This window comes from Homo sapiens, chromosome 22 (genome assembly GCF_000001405.40).
Source record: "Homo sapiens chromosome 22, GRCh38.p14 Primary Assembly".
NCBI lineage: Eukaryota > Metazoa > Chordata > Mammalia > Primates > Hominidae > Homo > Homo sapiens.
The window spans coordinates 23,232,655-23,251,835 of NC_000022.11; the positions used below are offsets into that span (position 1 = coordinate 23,232,655).

The 19,181-nt window shown below is 52.5% G+C and overlaps 1 protein-coding gene across 2 annotated transcripts in view, besides 8 other annotated features; it reads left to right on the top strand.

Moving 5' to 3' along the window:
* Positions 1–19,181, top strand: part of BCR (BCR activator of RhoGEF and GTPase) — a 137,529-nt gene that overhangs the window by 52,146 nt on the left and 66,202 nt on the right. The window lies entirely within an intron of this gene.
* Positions 1–19,181: part of a mitotic recombination region, noted in NCBI's record as "BCR-ABL minor-breakpoint cluster region recombines with the ABL minor-breakpoint recombination sub-region within the ABL breakpoint recombination region, producing the e1a2 transcript", that runs on past both edges of the window. NCBI's record gives the evidence for it as "EXISTENCE:nucleotide sequencing assay evidence [ECO:0000219][PMID:20703256]".
* Positions 5,610–10,186: a meiotic recombination region, noted in NCBI's record as "this region was identified as a recombination hotspot within the HapMap CEU and YRI populations". NCBI's record gives the evidence for it as "EXISTENCE:nucleotide sequencing assay evidence [ECO:0000219][PMID:20981099]".
* Positions 8,379–8,428: an enhancer, noted in NCBI's record as "active region_18751". NCBI's record gives its function as "activates an Ori minimal core promoter by ATAC-STARR-seq in GM12878 lymphoblastoid cells {active_cell/tissue: GM12878}" and the evidence as "EXISTENCE:reporter gene assay evidence [ECO:0000049][PMID:35858748]".
* Positions 8,959–10,462: a meiotic recombination region, noted in NCBI's record as "meiotic double-strand break mapped by DNA meiotic recombinase 1 chromatin immunoprecipitation followed by single-stranded DNA enrichment and sequencing in the germ cells of some male individuals with the PRDM9 A/A and PRDM9 A/B genotypes". NCBI's record gives the evidence for it as "EXISTENCE:chromatin immunoprecipitation-seq evidence [ECO:0000229][PMID:25395542]".
* Positions 9,641–10,391: an enhancer, noted in NCBI's record as "OCT4-NANOG-H3K27ac-H3K4me1 hESC enhancer chr22:23584482-23585232 (GRCh37/hg19 assembly coordinates)". NCBI's record gives its function as "activates a minimal SCP1, AML or CMV promoter by ChIP-STARR-seq in primed H9 embryonic stem cells {active_cell/tissue: H9 hESC(primed)}" and the evidence as "EXISTENCE:reporter gene assay evidence [ECO:0000049][PMID:30033119]".
* Positions 10,392–11,143: an enhancer, noted in NCBI's record as "OCT4-NANOG-H3K27ac-H3K4me1 hESC enhancer chr22:23585233-23585984 (GRCh37/hg19 assembly coordinates)". NCBI's record gives its function as "activates a minimal SCP1, AML or CMV promoter by ChIP-STARR-seq in primed H9 embryonic stem cells {active_cell/tissue: H9 hESC(primed)}" and the evidence as "EXISTENCE:reporter gene assay evidence [ECO:0000049][PMID:30033119]".
* Positions 10,709–10,938: an enhancer, noted in NCBI's record as "active region_18752". NCBI's record gives its function as "activates an Ori minimal core promoter by ATAC-STARR-seq in GM12878 lymphoblastoid cells {active_cell/tissue: GM12878}" and the evidence as "EXISTENCE:reporter gene assay evidence [ECO:0000049][PMID:35858748]".
* Positions 16,448–16,973: an enhancer, noted in NCBI's record as "H3K27ac-H3K4me1 hESC enhancer chr22:23591289-23591814 (GRCh37/hg19 assembly coordinates)". NCBI's record gives its function as "activates a minimal SCP1, AML or CMV promoter by ChIP-STARR-seq in naive H9 embryonic stem cells {active_cell/tissue: H9 hESC(naive)}" and the evidence as "EXISTENCE:reporter gene assay evidence [ECO:0000049][PMID:30033119]".

The window sequence follows — 19,181 nt, forward strand, 5'->3', positions numbered from 1 at the left end:
GCTTCTGTGGCTTATCAGCGAGCCTACCTGCTGCACCCGTGAGCATGGGCGGCCCCATCTGCCTCCTCCTTCAGGTGAGATGGCAGGATCAGAGAGATGGAATGAATGCTGCCGTGTCGCATTCATGTAGGAAGGCCTTATTTACAAACCATCTGTAGCAGTCAGAAGGCCTGATGTGGTCAGGCCAGACCATGGAGCCCCTGTTCTGGATCCATTTGGCAAAGATGAGAGAGAAGCTGGGTTAGGCTTTGTTGGGTAAATGCAAATGCCACATCTGTGTGTGCACACACATAGGCTGAGACATTTTTCTGCGAGGTGGGGGATCGCATTGAGGGAAGAAAAGGTGCTCTAATAGCTTCAGCCTGGACTTGGGTCCAGAGCTTTGGATAGAAGCATCTTTCCAGACAATTGGGATCCTGTAGAAAATCTGCCCTCTGAGGCTCTTCTATGCCTTCTGTTGTGTCCTGGGACCCCTTGGCATCTCCAGGCAGAGCCTATACAGAGCATCCACATCAGAGTCCCCTGTGGGCCCCAGTGCCTGTAGTTCCATCTCCTGCCTGGATGCTCGGTTCTTGGAGCGAGCTTCCTGAGCAGCCTCTGCAGGCTCCAGGCTCTGGCAGCATCTCCACGCCACTCCTGCCGGCCTTTCTCCTGGTGGAAGCAGCCTGCGTTGCTTCTCTGCCCGGTGGTGACAGGCTGTTCTCGTTTGGAAACAGAAGAGACACCACTGCTTCCCCACACCGACTTCCTAAAACATGAGGCTCCCTTCTGTGGTGTATGTGTAAAATGCCTGGCTCTGTATATGCACGTGGTGCACGCCTGGCCCTGGGGTCTTCACATTCTTCAGAAGAGGCCAGGCATGGAGGCTCGTGCCTGTAATCCCAGCACTTTGAGAGGCTGAGGCAAATGAATCATTTGAGGTCAAGAGTTCGAGACCAGCCTGGCTAACATGGTGAAACCCCGTCTTTGCTAAAAATATAAAAATTAGCCAGGTGTGGGGGCTTACACTCTTGTAGTCCCAGCTATTCAGGAGGCTGAGGCACAAGAATCGCTTGAACCCAGGAGTCGGGGGTTGTTGTGAGCTGAGATCACACCACTGCACGCCAGCCTGGGTGACAGAGCGAGACCCTGTCTCAAAAAAAAAAAAAAGAAAAAAAAGAAAAAAAAAAAGAAGAACATGGTGACTTCACCTGCCCAGGGAGGCGTGCCAGCCAGGGGCCCATGGAGAATCAGATATTCAGCCAGGGACAAGGGCATGTCAGTGGGCAGAGTGCCAGGGTGTGGGAGGCTCTCTGGGTGGTCGCTGACCAAAAACATCACTTCTGGGTTTTGTGACTCAGAAATGAGCTCAGCCTGTATACCCTGCAGATGTGATGAGCCCCAGGCCGAGTCCTCTGGGGGTGTCATTAATGGCGTGTGCATGAGCATTTTCTTCTGGCATTTTTACAGAGACCATGTGCAGCTGGACTCTCCGGAGACAGCAAACAGAAATTCTATTATGTGTCCTATCAGCTAGTAAAGGAGGGGAGCTTGCCTTGAGTTGTGTTTTTCTGCGACCCTGTGTGTTTGATCCTTGTCTGCACCCAGTTTGGCCACCCTGACCTCTGTCACTCCCAAGTCCGAGGAACCAGTGGTTATGTGAATGTGAAGTTATTTACTTCATCTGTTTATTTAGATCTGGGCCCTGGGGTGGCCCCATGCGTTGAATAAGTGTGTTCTACAGAACCCATGGTCCCTGGGTTCTGGGTGATCAGTGGCCTGAGGAGGGACCAGACTCCAGCCCGTCCTAAGGAGCTTATGAGAAGTTTTGAGGGGACTGGTGCCTGGACATGGGCTGTAGCGTAGGTGGAGTGTCGAGGAGGACCCTACACACGGTGAGTGGGAGAAAGCACCTGGGAGAGCATCCCGCAGCCCAGGAGGGTGGTCAGGTTAAGTCACAGCAGGGATGGGGCTATCAGAATGGTGGGCTGTGAAGAACTGGGAGGGCCAAGACTCAGGGAGGCCATCTGGATGGGGAAGGTGTGAGCCGAGGCCCAGAATGGAGCACCCAGGGGACCCAGGCTGATCAGGTCGCAGCGAGCATGAGGGGACTGTGCGAAGCCATGAGCTCCAGACTCCCCAGTCGTGGGCCCTGATGCGGGGGTGTGTGTGAGCTGGAGCCGTGGGACCAGGGCCGAACCCGTGTGCTGGACAGTCTTCGGGGCCCAGACACCAAGGGCCACCCGGAGCCTACAGGAAAGTTGGGGAGTAGAGGGGCATGTGTTGTATGGACAGAGCCCTACCATGCTTAGAGGAGTCAGGCTCCTCCCCCGACTCTGTGGCCACACATTGTCCCTCACACTCTTGATTTCTCAGCCACAGTGAGGGTGAAAACCAGGGTCAGCTCGAGACTATGACCCAGTTCCCATTTCACCTCCTGGGTCTTCTCCAGGTTCTGTGGGGTTTTTTGTTTTGTTTTGTTTTTTTGAGATGGAGTCTCTCGCTCTGTCACCCAGGCTGGAGTGCAGTGGTACGATCTTGGCTCCTAGGTTCAAGTGATTCTCCTGCCTCAGCCTCCCAAGTAGCTGGGATTACAGGCATGCACCCAGCTAATTTTTGTATTTTTAGTAGAGACGGGGTTTCACCATGCTGGCCAGACTGGTCTCGAACTCCTGACCTCAAGTGATCCGCCTGCCTTGGCATCCCAAAGTGCTGAGATTACTAGTGTGAGCCACCATGCCCGGCCTTCTCCAAGTTCCGAATTCCCTGAAAGCAGCTGTGCTGTTGCCCTGCCCTCTGGGGCACAATGTTAGGAGTAAGCAGCGTTTAAGTGCCTCCCTGATTAAGAGAAAGATGTATATTCCCACTGGGTGGCGAGGACATAGATGTCCAGGCCCATGTGTTCCACGGCATAATGTGGGGACTGCAGAGAGGAAGGGACATGTTTATGTCCCAGGTGAGTCATGGAATCTCAGAATATGAGGGTGTGCATGTCAGATTTTTTCAAGGAGGGGTGTCTTAGTCACTTCAGGCTGCTATAACAAAAATGCCATAAACTGGGTACCTTAAACAACAAACACTTACTCCTCACAGTGCTGGAGGCAGGAAGTCAGTATCAAGGAGCTGGAACATTTGGAGTCTGCCAAGGGCCCACTTCCTGGTTCTTAGCCATCTTCTTGCTGTGTTCTCACCTGGTGTGGAAAGGATGGGGGCTGTCTCTGGGGTTTCAAAAGGGCACTAATCCCCTTCATGAGGGTTCCGTCCTCCTGACCTAATCACCCCCAAAGGCCCCACCTCTAAATACCATCACATTGGGGGTTAGATTTCAACATAGGAATTTTGCAGAGATGTGAACATTTATTCTGTGTGCTGTAAGGGGCATCTCAGAGTGCCACCCCCACATCTCCAAAGCTGCTGGACCTTGCATATGGGAGCTGACTCTCTTGGGGCTGGTGTGACTCATGGCTGGAGGCCTGGCTTGTTAACCCAGCTCTGAGGTCCTCTGGGTGCCACCTCCTGCACACCAGCCAGCCAGGTGGCCTCCACGTACCTTCTGTTTCATGGAGAAGAGCTACTTGCTTAAGACAGGTTCCTCAAACCCCTGGCATCTGGTCTCAGGTGACTCTGAGCATCTCATGGCTACCTCCTCCCCACCTGCAGCCTCATCTCCACCCTGCCGCACTCTATGACTGAGCAGCACAGGGCGCCAGGGGATGTTTGTCTGCACTGCTGCTGTGTTGCTGACTTATGAGACCTCTTTGGAAGGGGCTCAACAGGTGAGGAGAGTGGTGTGAATCCACTTGTCCTAATAGACCACTCCAACTTTCTGAACATCCCAGGCTTTCCTGGTACAGTCCCCATCTTCCAGCCAAGAGGAGAGCATGGCTCAGGTGGGATTCAGGCGAGAACAGGGCAACGCACACCTACTAGCCAAGATACAAAGCACTTAATACAGGGAGGAGTCATGTGGGCAGAGCCCAGTGGGTCTGGGTTCCCCTCATGAGGACCGAGAGGGGACCAACACCTGTTAGATGTCTGCTGTGTTCCTGACGTTGGCCTGGGTGTGGGATGTGACTGGGTGTCTGTTGCTCTCCTTGGCAGGTGCCTGCCCTGGAGGTAAAGAGGCTGGGACAGTAACTTTAGGCAGTCAGCTGGGGTCTGTCTGTTAAGCAAGGAGCAGGAATCAGCCTTGTTCTCTACTGGCCTGTCTGGGAAGCGTGAACAAATTCTGTGTCTTGAATAGTACCCGAGTCAGTTGCCAGCCCTGTGCTGGCTCTGGCAGGGGGTAGCTGTGGAGGCAAGAGTGTTGGGCAGGGTGACCTGATTGAGCCAAGCTGTTATTCTTCCACCTGAGGATTTTCCAGAAGAAGTGCCAGGCTCAGAACCGGCGTCAGATACCTCTGAGAGCCTTTCCGGTTGCCACGGTTCTCCCAGGATCGTGGAGTTCTTGAAGGAAGGCCTTTTCCTGGCGTGTCTGCAGTGGCATGGTGATATAGCCACGCCGCCCCTGTTTGTGAGTTGAATCTCTGCAGAACTCACTTTTCCCAGGAGGTGCTTTCAGAATGCAGCATACCACAGTCCTCATCAGGATCTGCTCATTTGGCTGGGCTGGCAGGTGGCTGAGTTGGCTCCCGGAGCGGGTGTCTAGCAGCTGTGCTCATGGAGGCAGGCTGGGCGTGTGAATCTCACCTCCTCCCACGGCCCCCTGGGGAAGCAGGATAGGAGCTGGGCCTGGTTCCCGAGCCTGGCCGATTGGGAGTAACAGGTGGGATCTGGACCAGGTTGTCACACCCACAATGACAGCTGGGATTATCACCGTGGGTGGTAATTCCCACATGACAGTTTCGAGTTTCAGGTCAAGAGCTGGGTCCTCTCTCTCCTCTTGCATCTGGACAGAGAGATCCTTGCCGGCTGGTTTTCTGGCTCGTTCCTCAGCTGTTTTCTGTGGCCTGCAGAGTTTGCAGCCCCAGGGGAGTAAGGAAAGCTCTGCTCTGGCCTGATTTTTGCTGGAGAAGAGAAATGTGGAAGTCAGGGTGGTGGCCTTTGCAGTGGGTCAGCTTTGGGCTGCTGAGACGGGCGGCGTGAAGGCCGGCTTCCAGAGCCCTGGCTGGCCTTTGTAGTGGATGAGACGGACCAGATTGCCATGCTAGGGTCACCCGCTGACCTGCAGTGGCCTGAGCAGATACATGGCTCTGCCAGATTTCCTGAAGTGGAGCCCTCAGCCTCACACTGCATCCCCCAGAAGCCAGGCAAGAGGAGGTCATAAGGTTTTTCTGGAAAGGAGCGAAAGAGTGCGCTGCTAAATGTTGCAGGTGGGAGTGCGTGAACAGGTGAGGCTTCCGGTAATTATGACAAGTGATGCTTGTGCTTCTCAGTGCCGTTTCCTCCCTCTGATGGGGCCTGCTTGACACCTCGCAGGGAGCGTGGGTGGAGAGTGTCATTATCCCCATTTCATTGGTGGGAACATTGAGAGATGAAACGAGGAGTTTCATCTGCAGGCCCCTGGGCCCTCTGGTCATCCCGGTCATCCTGGTTGGTTTATTGTCTTGTTTTTTAAGGGGGATGATCGAAGAAAGCCTTGGAGGTAGGGTGGGGGAAGCTGGGAACAGAGGGAATTATATTTCCTTTTCCAAATACTTGTTTAAGAATGGAAGAGTTCCTGGCCACATAATCCATGTGCACAGATTTTCCGGGGGAAAATCCATTTGAGTTTAGACTTGGAGACCGTGCCACCTCCCGGTCTGTTCCTCAGGCTTTTGACATCTGCCCACACCTGGAACATCTTAAATTCTGGTGGAGAATACAAAACGTCACTCCCCTGCCCCAGCTCACCCCTAGTTCAGCCCCCCAGGATACCTGAAGTTGGGGATCCTCCTTCTTAGCTGTGGAGCTCAGGGTATGTTGGTTCCACGTCCAAACCTTCAACCTTCATCTGTAAAATGGGGTACTGATGGCTCCCTTGCAGAGGCCTGGGGATTCGAGGCAGCACTTCTGGCCCGTACCTGTTGCCATTTCTGCATGTTGTACCCCTGGCCCTGACTCAGGCTGGCGTCCTGAACACCTGTGCATCCACAACCCCATAAGCCTTCCAGGAGCACTATAGATCAGGGTGACCCAGGATTAGGCCGGGGGTGGGAATTACAGACTACCCCCAGGACTGACCCAGAGCTATACCCCTCCAGGGCCGGTGGGAACACGAGTGGTTTTTGTGTGTGTATGTGGCTTGCAGCTTGCAAGGGGGGTGGGGGGCAGGTGGCGGGGTTGGTTCGAGTCTCAAACTGTCCTCTGTCGGGTCGGGTCAGGCCTCAAACTCTCCTCTGGGCCATTTCCTTCTTTTTCTCAACAGAAAGAACCCAGGCTATGGAATCATGTGTGGGCCCAGCAGGGTTCATAGGCACCTTCTCAGTCTGTCTCCAGCGTTGGGCTCTTCTGGTCCTGCCCAGCTTGTCGCTTTAGTACCTCAGTTTCCTTATCTGCATGGAAGCCCACCTGTCAGCTTGGATGAGGGGAGGAAAGCAAAGCCCCTCAGGCCCTGTGTGGGAAGGAGAGTCTGAAAGTGCAGGGGCTGTGCTCAGGAAGGAGCGCAGCTTCAGGAGGGGCTGGTTGGCTGGCAGTGTTGTGCAGGACATTCAGAACGTGACTGGGTTTCTATTCTGATTTGTACAAGCATAGGATACTCAGGTGGCTCTGGTCTGTTCTCTAGCAGGAGAGTCTGGGGTCAATCTGTAATAATTTAGCTTCTGAGCAGGTGCCCGGCACTGGAAGAGGAGAGCCCAAGAGAGCACGGATACATTGTGTGGCTGAAGGGGGCAAGGCCCTGGGCTGCCTCCTACTCTGACCTTGTGGGCCTTGGTGTCTGCTCTTCCCCTCTGTCTGCCACTCTGAGTCTGGAATGTGGCAGTGATATGGGTGTTGTGGGCACTCCTGGCATGTGGGCAGCTCCTCAGTGCTGGTGTCTGAGCTCCACAATGACTTCATTCATGTAATAGTATGTTATGGCTGCGTAACAAAGAACCACAAACTGTGCAGCCCAAATCATAGAAATTTATCATCTCACAGTTCTGACGACTGGAAATATGAGATTGAGATGTTGGCTGGGTTGGATCCTTATAGGTGGCAGTTTTCAAGTTCACATGACATTCTCCCTATATGCCAGTCTGTATCCAAATTCCACCCACCCACCCCCACTTTTTTTTAAGAGACAGCGTCTCCCTCTGGCTCCAGTCCCAGGCTGCAGTGCAGTGGCGCAGTCATAGCTCACTGTAGCCTCAGCCTCCTGGGCTCAAGTGATCCTCCCACCTCAGCCTCCCAAGTAGCTGAAAACTACACTTGACCACCATACCTGGCTAATTTTTATATTTTTTTGTAGAGACACGTTCTTGTTATGTTGTCCAGGCTAGTCTCGAACTCCTGGCCTGAAGTGATCCTGCCTCCCAAAGTGCTGGGATTACAGGCATGAGCCACCACGCCAGGCCACCTCTTTTTTAAAGGACACAGTCACATTGGATTAGGACCTAACCTAATGACCTCATTTTAACTTGGTAAAGACCCTATTTTCAAATAAGTTTAGAGGTTAGGACTTCAGCATATGAATTTAGGAGGGAACACAATTTAGCCCCTAAAACTGTACTTCTATTCTTTTGTTTTAAATTTCAGAGCCTGGCTGATCGTGTGTGTGTGTGTGTGTGTGTGTGTGTGTGTGTGTGTGTGTCTGTCTATGTGTGAAAATATACATAGGCCGGGCGCGGTGGCTCACGCCTGTAATCCCAGCACTTTGGGAGGCTGAGGCGGGTGGATCACGAGGTCAGGAGATCGAGACCATCCTGACTAACACGGTGAAACCCCGTCTCTACTAAAAATACAAAAAATCAGCCGGGCGTGGTGGCGGGCGCCTGTAGTTCCAGCTAATCGGGAGGCTGAGGCAGGAGAATGGCGTGAACCCAGGAGGCGGAGCTTGCAGTGAGCCGAGATAGTGCCACTTGCACTCCAGCCTGGGTGACAGAGCGAGACTGTCTCAAAAAGAAAAAAAAAAGAAAAAGAAAAAAAGAAAATATACATAACATGTACTGTTTTAGCCATTTTTAAGTGTGCGGTTCAGTGGTATTCAGTACATCCACATTATCATACACCTGTCACTACTGTCCATCTCCAGAACTTTTTCATATTCTCCACACTGAAACTCCACTAAACGCTAACTCCCTCCTCCCCTCCTGTCCAGCACCTCACAACCCCCTTTCTACTTTCTGTCTCTATGAATTTGACTACTCTAGGAACCTCATATACGTGGAATCTTACGGTATTTGTTTGTTTGTGCCTGGCTGATTTCACTTAGCATAATGTCCTCAAGGCCTATCTCAGTCAGCGTGTGTCAGAGTTTCCTTCCTTTTTGAGGCTGAATAATACTCCTTTACATGTATGTGGCACGTTCTGGTTTTCCACTCATGCATTGATGGATGCTAGGGTTGCTGCCACCTCTTGGCCATTGTGGATGGCGCTGCTGGGAATGTGGTGAATGTGCACCTCCTCTCCTAACCTGCCCCAGGCATCCTTCAGAAGCGGGGCAGCCCAAGACCGAGATGGGGGAAGAAGGTGGTTTGCCTGCCCTCCCAGGCTTGCTGGGTGTCTGCCCGTGGCTGGGCCCTGGCCCCGGGCTCAGGGTGGTGACCGCCAGCAGGGGGAAGTCCCTCTTCCTGCCATTCCCCCCCGACCAACCCTCTGTATTTCCTCTTTGGAGGGGCAGTGAGTGGGAAGGGAGGACCCACAGGTGTGCAGCGGCCATGGCCCGCATCCTGGCTGAGCACCTTTGCTGGTGTGGAGGGACTCCCTCCAGTCACTTTCAGACCTCACTCCCCATGCTGCTCCCACACCAGGGCACTGTTCCCACGCCATCCTCCTTTGAAGGGCACTACCCATCTTCCCTGTCTTGCCCCTTCCCACCCTCTTCCCAGGGACTTTTCTGGTCAGTTCCCTGCTGCCAGGTCTATACCTCAGGGACTAGAAGCTCAGCATCCCCTCTGCTCTTCCTCCTTTTGCCTTTGTCCTCTTAGCCAGACCCAGGCTCACTGTGCGTCAGTGCCCCTGCCTGCGTTTTTCTACCAACACCAGGCCTACCTGGAGTGACCATCGCAGAAGCCCCCAGCCCTGCCCCACCTCCAGTGCCACACTCAGATGTGCTGCCAGAACGTCACCTGTCTCCCTGCAGCCTCTAGGCTCCCCTCTTGTTCCAGACCCAGACATCTCCTAAATGGAGCCCAAGTCCTTGGCCTGAAGCCTGAGGCTCCCCACAAAATCACCCTCTTCCTCTCTCTCCTCTCACTGCCAGCCTGTATCCCCTTTCCCAGCTGTACCCCCTTTCCCAGAGACCACTTCCAGCCCCCCTTAGCTCTTAGTGGCCTCTGGCTGGATCTAGAAACCAAACTGACACCAGGTACATTAACAAGAGAAAAGCACACAAATGTCATTAGTTTTACAGGTGCATGGGAAACTTCACCAGAGTCAAGTCCAGACAAGTGGCCGAAGCAAGATGCTTTATCCTTTTTCGATAAAGAACAATAAGTTTGAGAAGTGGCAGGACAAGGGGGATCTGGCTAGGGGCAGTAAATTCTTGAGCAGTCACTGGGAGATATATGAGGGGTGTAAACCTGGTGGAAGATAAGGGTTACTTTGTTAAAGCATATTTATTCAGGCCCACTGCAGCCCCCGATTCCATCTCAGGTGATAAGGGCTATTTTCTCCCCTGGTTCAAGGAAGACACCCCTCCCAGAGGAATCTTTATGGCTTGCTGAGTATAGCAAGAAACAGGTCAGCTAGCCCTTTCTGAAGCTGCAGCTCGAAGTCAGTGTAGCCATCCGGTGTATTTTGGGATGGCACGTCCTTCACTCTTTCCCAGCCTTTCTGCATTTGTAAGCCCCAGGAAAGCCGGCAGCTGAGTCAGCCTGAATCCCTCCATGGGGCGTCTTTGCAGCTCCCTGCCCCTGCTGGTTGAAGGCTCTGTTGGTCGCATTCTTCTCTCTCACAGACTCTGCCCCTCCAAAGCCCTTCCAGCCCTCTCCTGGGGGCTGGGTTATCTCTGTCCTCAGACTCCATGGCACCGAGTTCAGGCCATGTCTTAGTGTCCTGTGGCTTCCTTAACAGAATGCCACAAGCTTAGTGGCTTACAACAACAAACATTTATTCTCTCCCAGTTCTGAAGACTGAAGTCCCACATCAAGGTGTCCGCAGGGCCAGGCTGTCTCTGGAGGCTCTAGGGGAGGATCCTTCCTTTCTGTTCCCAGCATCTGATGGCCCACGGCATTCCTCGACCTGGTGACAACATCTCTCCAGTCCCTGCCTCCGCCTTCAAATGGCCTCCTGTATGCCTGTGTCTTCTGTCTCTTTAAAGATATTTGTCATTGGATTTAGGGTCCATCAGTGTGATATTGTGATATAAGAAACCTGTATGTGGTCTTCCTTCTGGTTTCTGGCACAAGCTCCTAAAATCATTGTAATTTCCTGAACGATGGGGTGATAGGAGCATCTTTTGTTATTCATACAAGCCCTTTTCTGTGGGACCTGAGGTTATGCTAATGAGGTGATGCTTGAGGGGCCCCTAGATAGCTGTGGGACGGGGCTGGTTGCCAGAGGAACCAGCCACGTGATTAGAGGGTTGGAACTTTAGCTCCACCCCTGAACTCTGGGGATGGGGAGAGGGGTGGAGATTGAATTGATCACCCGTGTCTACAGCCATGCCAGCCTGATCTCGGCTGAACTGATCATCAGTGGCCAATGATTTAGTCTTGCCTACCTAGTGGAACCTCCATGAAAACACTACACAGTGAGGTTCAGAGAGCTTTCACGTTGGTGAACACATGAAGGTGCTGGGAGGGCAGTGCCCCAAGAGGCCATGGAAGCTCCCCCACAATACACACCCTGTTACCCAGCCCTCTTCCGTTTGGCTTTCGTGAGTGGTATCCTTTACAATAAACTGGTAAATGTGAGTAAAAGGTTTTCCCGAATTCTGTGAGCTGTTCTAGCAATTTTTTTTTTTTTTTTTTAAGATGGAGCCTCGCTCTGTTGCCCAGGCTGGAGTGCAGTGGCGAGATCTCGGCTCACTGCAACCTCCCGGGTTCAAATGATTCTCTTGCCTTAGCCTCCCGAGTAGCTGGGACTATAGGCGCCTGCCACCACGCCCAGCTAATTTTTGTGTTTTTAGTAGAGACGCGATTTCATCATATTGGCCAGACTGGTCTTGAACTCCTGACCTTGTGATCCGCCTGCCTCAGCCTCCCAAAGTTGCTGGGATTACAGGCATGAGCCACCGTGCCCGGCTCTAGCAAATTATTGAACCTGAGGAGGGGGTTGTGGGAACACCCCATCTCCACTCCCAGCTTTAGAGTCAGTAGGTCAGAAGTACAGGTGGCCCAGACTTCCCCCAGTGCCTTAAGTGGGAACAGTCTTGTGGTACTGAGCCCTTAACCTGTGAAGTCTGACACTTATTCCACATACTTACTGGCAGAATGGAATTAAATTATAGGACACCCGGCTGGTGTCCAGAGACTGGGAGGATTGCCTGGTGAAAGGAGAAAACCCACACGTGTGTTGTCAGGAGAGTTCTGGGGGAATAGAAACACATCATAGTAGTAGTAATTGGACAATCTAGGGTGATCTCATCTCAAAGCCTTTAACTTCATTACATCTGCAAAAAGACTCTTTCCAGGTAAGGTCGCATTCGCAGATTCTAGGGTTAGGATATGAACGTGTTCCTTTGGGGGCCCACTACAGTGGGCTTCTCACCTTGGTGTCCTCAGGGGAGCCAGTGTCTGCCTCCCTCTCCTCCGTTAGGTCCTGGCTCCGTGGTCATTTCCTCAGGGAGAGGCCCTGCTGTCCTTCCTGGGTCTGTCTTCCTCCCTCCTGCATGTGCTCCGGTGCCACCTGCCTCTCTCCCGTGGCCTTGTCATGGTTGCTGTGATGCCCACGTCACGTGACTCCATGGATTCCGCTGGCTCCCATGGGCAGGGGCTGGGTGTGCGGTGCTCACCATTCCATACCCAGCACAGTGTCCTGCACGTATTAGATACTCAGTAAGTACATTTGTCTGGGGCTAAACCTTCAGGGTCTCCAGGAAGTCTTTCTGAGCCCCAGAGTCCTAAAAAGCCCAGGTGCTGCTGAGGAATAATAACTGTATCATCCTGGGGCGGAGGGCTGCTGCCTCTTCCCAGCTGGGGTTTCAGCCTCTGCCCTGCCCCCGCACCAGCCGGCCCCCAACCTGAAGCCTAGAGCATCAAATTATTATTGCCTCCGGGAATGACTGGGAGCCTTAGGCACAGGTGGGTCCTTGGAGACAGGGGATGGTCCTTTAACAGTGTTCTGGATCCTGATGGAGAAGAGAGGGGGTTCTCCTCTGCCCACACTGAGGCACACTCGGCTTGTGGAGGAAAACGGCTGACTAGTGCCCCCAGAAAATCGCCAGCAAAGTTGACCTTCTGGTGATTCAGTCTCCAACCAGCTCAACCTTCAAGCAGGCAGAGCTGTCAGGGCTGGTCGTGTGGGTTGGACTTTCTCCTCCAAGAAAGCTCAGAGTTGTAAATACCTGTTTCTCATCTGCGGTGTCTAGGGTTGCCTGGGGAGTCAAGGCATCAGGGAGCAGGACAGGCTCAGGCCCTTCCCGACTGACATTTTCCAGCCTATGGGGGGCCTTGGCTAGCCTGGTGGCTTTCTCTGTGGCATACGCTGATTCATGACCCTGACCTCTCTCTACCCGGGCAGCTGCGGCTTTCCATTCTTGGGTGCTGGCCTGGTGATGTCATTGTTGGGGTACGGCATGAGGGCTGGGAGGCCACAGGATCCTGGGGTGCTCTCTGTGTACCCTTCCACCACAGAACCAAGGACCCTGGTGGCAGGCCTTTAGCCAGGGTGCGGTGGCTAACTGGATGGGGCACGTCTCATTTATAAAGAATTTTGAGGCACTTGGCGTGGATGCAAGAAGGGGCAGCTGCCAGCCTGGCAGAGGAGGAGAAAGTAGAGAAACCACCAGAACCAACCACACATCTCCGAAAGCACTCACTGCATGTGGGTGGCCTGAGGTTATGGCCAGGCGGTACTGATGTCCATCCGGAAGGATACTCTCAGCCCTCGGGAAACAGTGGAATTATGTTCCGGGTTCCCTGCTTAGGAGAGGAAAACAGGTCAGCCTTAAAAAAAAAAAAAAATTGAGGTAAAATTCACATAACATAAAATGAATCATTTTAAAGTGAACAATTCCGTGGCTTTTAGTGCCTTCACAGTGTTGTGCAACCACCATCTCCGTTTAGTTCCGAAACATTTTCGTCACCCCAGAAGGAAACCCCTGCCCATTAAGCAGTCACCGACCTCCTTTCTGTCTTTATGGGTTTACGTATTGTGGGGATTTAATATCAATGGAGTCATACAACATGTGGCACTTTGTGACTGGCATATTTCCCGTAGCATCATGTTTTCAAGGTTCATCCGTGTTGTAGCATGTGACAGAATTTCCTTCCCTTTGAAGGCAGAGGCCGGGTGTAGTGGCTCACACCTGCAATCCCAGCACTTTGGGAGGCCTAGGCGAGAGGACCACTTGAAGCCAGGAGTTCAAGACCAGCCTAGGCAACATAGCGAGACCCCTGTCTCTACAAAAAGAAAAAAAAAATTATTTTAGCTGGACATAATGGCACACACCTGTAATGCCAGTTACTTAGGGGGCTCAGGCAGGAGATCACGTGAGCCCAGGAGTTCGAGACTATGGTGAGCAATGCTATTCCATTGAATCTGATGGACATTTGGATTGTTTCTACCTCTTGTGAATAATGCTTCTGTGAACATTCTGGTACAAGTTTTTGTTTGAACACTAGTTTTCAATTGTTTTGATTATACACCTAGGAGGGGAGTTGCTAAGTCGTAAGGTTATCAATGCCACATCTTAGAAATGCCTTCTCTTTGGAATGAAAGTTGACCCAGCAGGCAGGTCACACAGGTGCAGCTGGGCACAGTCAAGCTCTGCCTGAGACTCAGTTTTTCCTGTCTGAAAAATAGCAATCTAAAAGTTCATGCCCACTCAGGTGCGTATTCCAAGAGATGATACGTGGGTTTTCAGCACCATATGTGACCTGGAGGAAGTACCCCGTAAAGGGTGGTGGGTTTTTTTTGCCCACTACTTCAAAGATTTGGGTCTTTTTTGCTGTCAGAGGAACTTACCTCCCTGAAGCACTACGGGTATTCCCTGACCTTACCTGAGGTTCTGCTACGATAGCCAGCTTCGGAGCCCCCAAGATCCACAGCCCTTCTCGAGGGTAGAGTCTGCTCTTGGTGGGTGCATGGTGGTAAGAAGGTGCCAGGCTATGGATGAGCGTGGGGTGCAGAGCCAGCTCCGACTGTGGACTCTGCACCCTTCATGAGACCCGAACCTCTGTCCCAGCCATGGTTTTCCAAGCCTCTCTGGAGGACAGTGCCTGCCTGACAATCCCTCCAAAAGACGTGTGCTGCTGTTTGTAGAAGTCGCTGGCACCATGCTGCCATGGCCTGCCTAGGACCTGGGAGAAGATGGGAGGCCAAGAGGAGGGCAGGAGCCGGGAAGGAGGACAGCTGCAGCCATGACAGGGTGGGGGTTTGATGTCCGCCTCTGTGAAAACCTCCACCACAGCTGGCCGAGCCACCGGATGTTTGATCTCCTTTTACCTTTGTAAATAAATACTGCCTAGTCTTTGGCTGCCAGTGTAAACAAGGATGGAGACCACTCTGCTGATGATCTCTGTGCTCCCTGGAGTTCCTGCCTCCTCCACCCAAATTCCTCCCAGTGCCCCTTTCTTCTCTTGACTCCAGTACATGTTGATCGGAGGGCCCTTTACAGCCGCTCTCATTGTTCTGGGTAGGGAGGGCCCAGAGCATGACCTCTGATCCCCTGAGGGCTTGCTCCCATCTCACCCTGGGGCACATTGGCAGAGGTTGGGTCAGGGGCTGGGTTCCTGGAACCCCACACCTCTGGCAGCCACACCACGGATGGAGGATCTGGGGTCTCTCTAGGCATATCTGGCCTGGGAGAGCCTCTCCTGCCTGGCTGTACCCAGGCATCACATGGCCGATGGTCTGAGCTCAGTTCTGCATGCATTTCCTGGGAGCCCACCGTTCCACCTTCTGTCTCTATGAATCTGACTACTGTAGGTACCTCATATGAGTGGAATCATAACAATATTTGTCCTTTTGTGTCTGGCTTATTCCACTAAGCAGAACATCAAGGTTCATCCATGAGATTGCATGTGTCAAAATGTCCTTCCTTTTTAAGGCTGAATGATGTTCCATTGCGTGTATACATTACATTGTGCTTCTCCCTTCTTCTGTCAGTGGACATTGGGTTCTTTCCACCTCTTCCTTCCCATGTTGTGATGAATATGGGTGTGCAAATATGTCTTCAAGTTCCTGCTTTCAGTTCTTTTAGAGGCTGGGCGCAGTGGCTCACGCTTGTAATCCCAGCACTTTGGGAGACTGAGGCTGGTGGATTACTTGAGGTCAGGAGTTCCAGACCAGCCTGGGCAACATGGTGAAACCCCATCTATACTTAAAATACGAAAATTAGCTGGGTGTGGTGGCGCACGCTTGTAATCACAGCTACTTGGGAGGCCAAGGCAGGAGAATCACTTGAACCCAGGAGGTGGAGGTTGCAGTGAGCCAAGATCGCGCCATTATACTCCAGCAGTGTCCGGGCAACAGAGTGAGACTCCATCTCAAAAAAAAAAAAAAATCAGTTATTTTGGGTACATAACTAGGAGTAGAATTGCTGGATCATGTGGTAATTCTGTTTAATTTTTTGAAAGATTTTTTTTTTTGAACCAGTGTAGTCTAGGGGATGTGACCGCAGCACCTACCTGGGCCTGGGCTGACTGGGACCTAACCAGGCATTATTCTTTTCGCTATATTATTTTTATTTTTTGGCTGCCCTTTTTCCTTTTATGAAAGAATAGATTTGCAGAGTTCTGGGGTTGGGTTGCTAAGCAAACTGCCTGGAGAGAAGAGGGTTTCAGATTTCACTAGGCCCTCCCTCTTCCACACCAACCCTGGGCTGTCTGCACTGGACTTCCTCTCCCCAGCCCCACTCCTAGTCTGGTTCCTGGTTCAGGTGAGCAGCAGCCAGATTCCATGCCCCCACCTTCTACCTTCTAGTGTTTGGGTTCTGCCTTGGATAAAGCTTTGCAGGAAGGATGTGGCTGATGAGACCATCAACCTCAGTCCTGCCAAGGGTGAGGCGGCCCAGAGAGGTTTTTCCACTGGGTATTCCTGGTACGGGGGCAGGAGCCAGGCCTCCCAATTGGTTCTGGCTCTTGGGAGATGGTGGCTTTCAAAATGCCAAATAATGTACTTTATCCTCAAGAGGAAAGGGCCTTGGCTGGGCATGGTGGCTCAAGCCTATAATCCCAGCACTTTGGGAGGCCGAGGCAGGAGGGTTGCTTGAGGCCAGAGTTTAAGATCAGCCTGGACAACATAGCAAGACTTTTTCTCAAAAAATGTTTTTAAAAATTAGCTGGGCAGGCCAGGCACGGTGGCTCACGCCTGTAATCCCAGCACTTTGGGAGGCCAAGGTGGGTGGATCACAAGGTCAGGAGATGGAGACCATCCTGGCTAACATGGTGAAACTCCGTCTCTACTAAAAATACAAAAAAAAATTAGCCAGGCGTGGTGGCGCACGCCTGTAGTCCCAGCTACTCCGGAGGCTGAGGCAGGAGAATGGCGTGAACCCGGAAGGTGGAGCTTACAGTGAGCCGAAATCGCGCCACTGCACTCCAGCCTGGACGACAGAGCAAGACTCTGTCTCAAAAAAAAAAAAAAAAAAATTAGCTGGGCATAGTGGCATGCACCTGTAGTCCCAGCTACTTAGAAGGATCCCTTGAGCCCAGGAGTTCACAGCTGCAGTGAGCTGTGATCACTCCACTGCACTTCAGCCTGGGTGACAGAAAGATCATGTCGCTGAAAATAAAATCACGGGTGGGGGGTGGTGCTTTGTGTACTTAGGGGAGCTCAGGTGTGAAAAACTGCGTTTTGAAAAAGCAGGTTCCTGTGTGCTGGTTAGAATGGGGGGATGAGGAAATTGAGGGGCAGTCCTCCCCACACCATCATTTGCCTTGGAGCAGACTGGAAGAGTCAGCAGAATGAGGGGCAACAAGTATGGATTGGAGTGATCTGGGTGAGCTGAGGCAGGGGCTGAAGCCCTCATATGGAACGTGGCAGGGATGAGCAGGCCATCTGGAATCCAGACTTAAAAGCATCAGTCACCCAGACATTGATTTGAGATCTCTGCAGAGGGGGAAACGGCTGGGGTTTCAGCCACTTGGAGTGTCCTAATTCCCCAGCAGAGTCTGGCCGTGAGACCTAGTCTCTCTGTCTCACCTGGCGGGGTGATGTGTCCACTTCAAAGTCTCACTGGACACAGGCAGGCAAACCCTCACCGGGCACTTGATTCTTGCACCAGGTTTTAGCGTGGACGTTGCTAAGCCAGCATGTGGCTTCGCACATGTGGAGTCTTACAGTTACTCTGAAGCAAGCCCTGGGACCCCGAATCTGACCCCGAAGTTCTTGCTGGGCTGACTCCCTACTCGGTGTTGACTTGACCTTACACGGGAGTCAGTGTAGTCATGGGCTCGGAAAGCACTCAGATAAAAGGTGCTCCACCCAGTGATGAAGAATGTGTTGATGTCTTAAGATCGTCTTCAGATAAACAGCAAAACCGTTGGTTAAAAGCTGGTCTAACCCACCTTATTTTGTTGTTGTTTGTTTTGTTTTAGACGTTTCGCAGCCTGAAGCTGTGGTTTTAGTCTCTTTCTCTAGTGATAAGTGGAAAAGAGGGATGAGGAAGGGGCTTTGCTGGCCCGACCAAAAACAAAACTAAGAACCCATGAGTGTATTCTCTCCCTTGGGCACTTGGACACCTCTGCTAGAACATTTAGTAGACGCTGACAATTCCAAGCTAATGTAAAAGCCAAGTCTGGAGGGTCATGGGGTGGGAGACTAGGGTGAGGAAGTTGTTAAAGGAGGCCAAGGGGATGGCACGGCCTTCATCTAATAGTGACAGTAGCATTTTAGAGCTAGAGGGTCTTTATCCATTGTCTAGTTCACATGCATGATTTTAAAAAAGGAAGCTGAGGCAGGAGGATTGCTTGAGCCCAGGAGTTGGAGACTAGCCTAGGCACCTTAGCGAGTCAACGTCTCTGTTAAAATTAATAAATGAAGTCAAGAAAGGTGAGGCATGGGCGGCCTCAGTGACCTGGACTAACTCACAGAGAGGTAGCAATGGGGAGGGCCAGAGCCTCGCTTCTGAGGGATTACACCACAGCTCACTTCCCCCACCCAAAGGCCAAAGGAACTGAGCGTTAATAACCAACATAGCGATCTTGGTACCTGGAGCCCCCTCGATGTCCCATGGATTAAGGAGACCAGATTCCTCCATACAGCTTGTTGAGGGACTTGGTGGGTGCCCCTTGCTCTTGGGGTCTTCCTACTTTGGCTGCTATGCTCAACCCAGACCCAGCCTCTTCCTGGAATTCTCCTTTCAACACGCACAGAGACAGAACCCGGCCCGGACTTTGCAGCCAGTAGTTGTGTGCAATCACCTGGGACAGTGCTGCAGGTCAGCAGCCGGCAATGCTAGACACCGGGTTGGGGTCGCTCAGCAGGTCTAAGCCCTGGCTGCCAGCTAGATTCCCCCAGGAAGCCCCTATAGCTTCGGATTCAGCAGGTCTGTGTGGATCCCGGTGAAATCGTTTTCAAAGCCTCCCAGGTGTTGCCGACGTGCAGCCAGGGCTGAGGACACCTGTTAGAGGGTGCTGAGTCCTGTGGGACGAGAAGTGGAGAACCTGGGAGAGGGAGAGGCAGAGGTGTGCAAGGAAGCCGGAACTTCGGCCACCTGCACCCACAGCTAGTGGCAGATCACTCCAGACACACGGCTCTCCCCGGCCTTCCACGTGGAAAGGACTGACAACAGTCTCCACTTCAGGATTGCTGGGTCAGTTGCTCTGAGTGCCTGAGGGCAGCCCTGTGCCCACCCAGCCTGGGTGTGTGTGGTGGCAGTTGTAAACTCCTGAATGAACACCAAGGTCACCTCTGCTGGTAACCTTTGGGCAGGGCTGCTTACAGGTGACTCATGGTGAGAGTGACGTCACCCCATCAGGGTGAGCTCTCAGAAGTCCCATGGGCCTCAAAGTCCCCCTTTGGAAGGAGTGGAG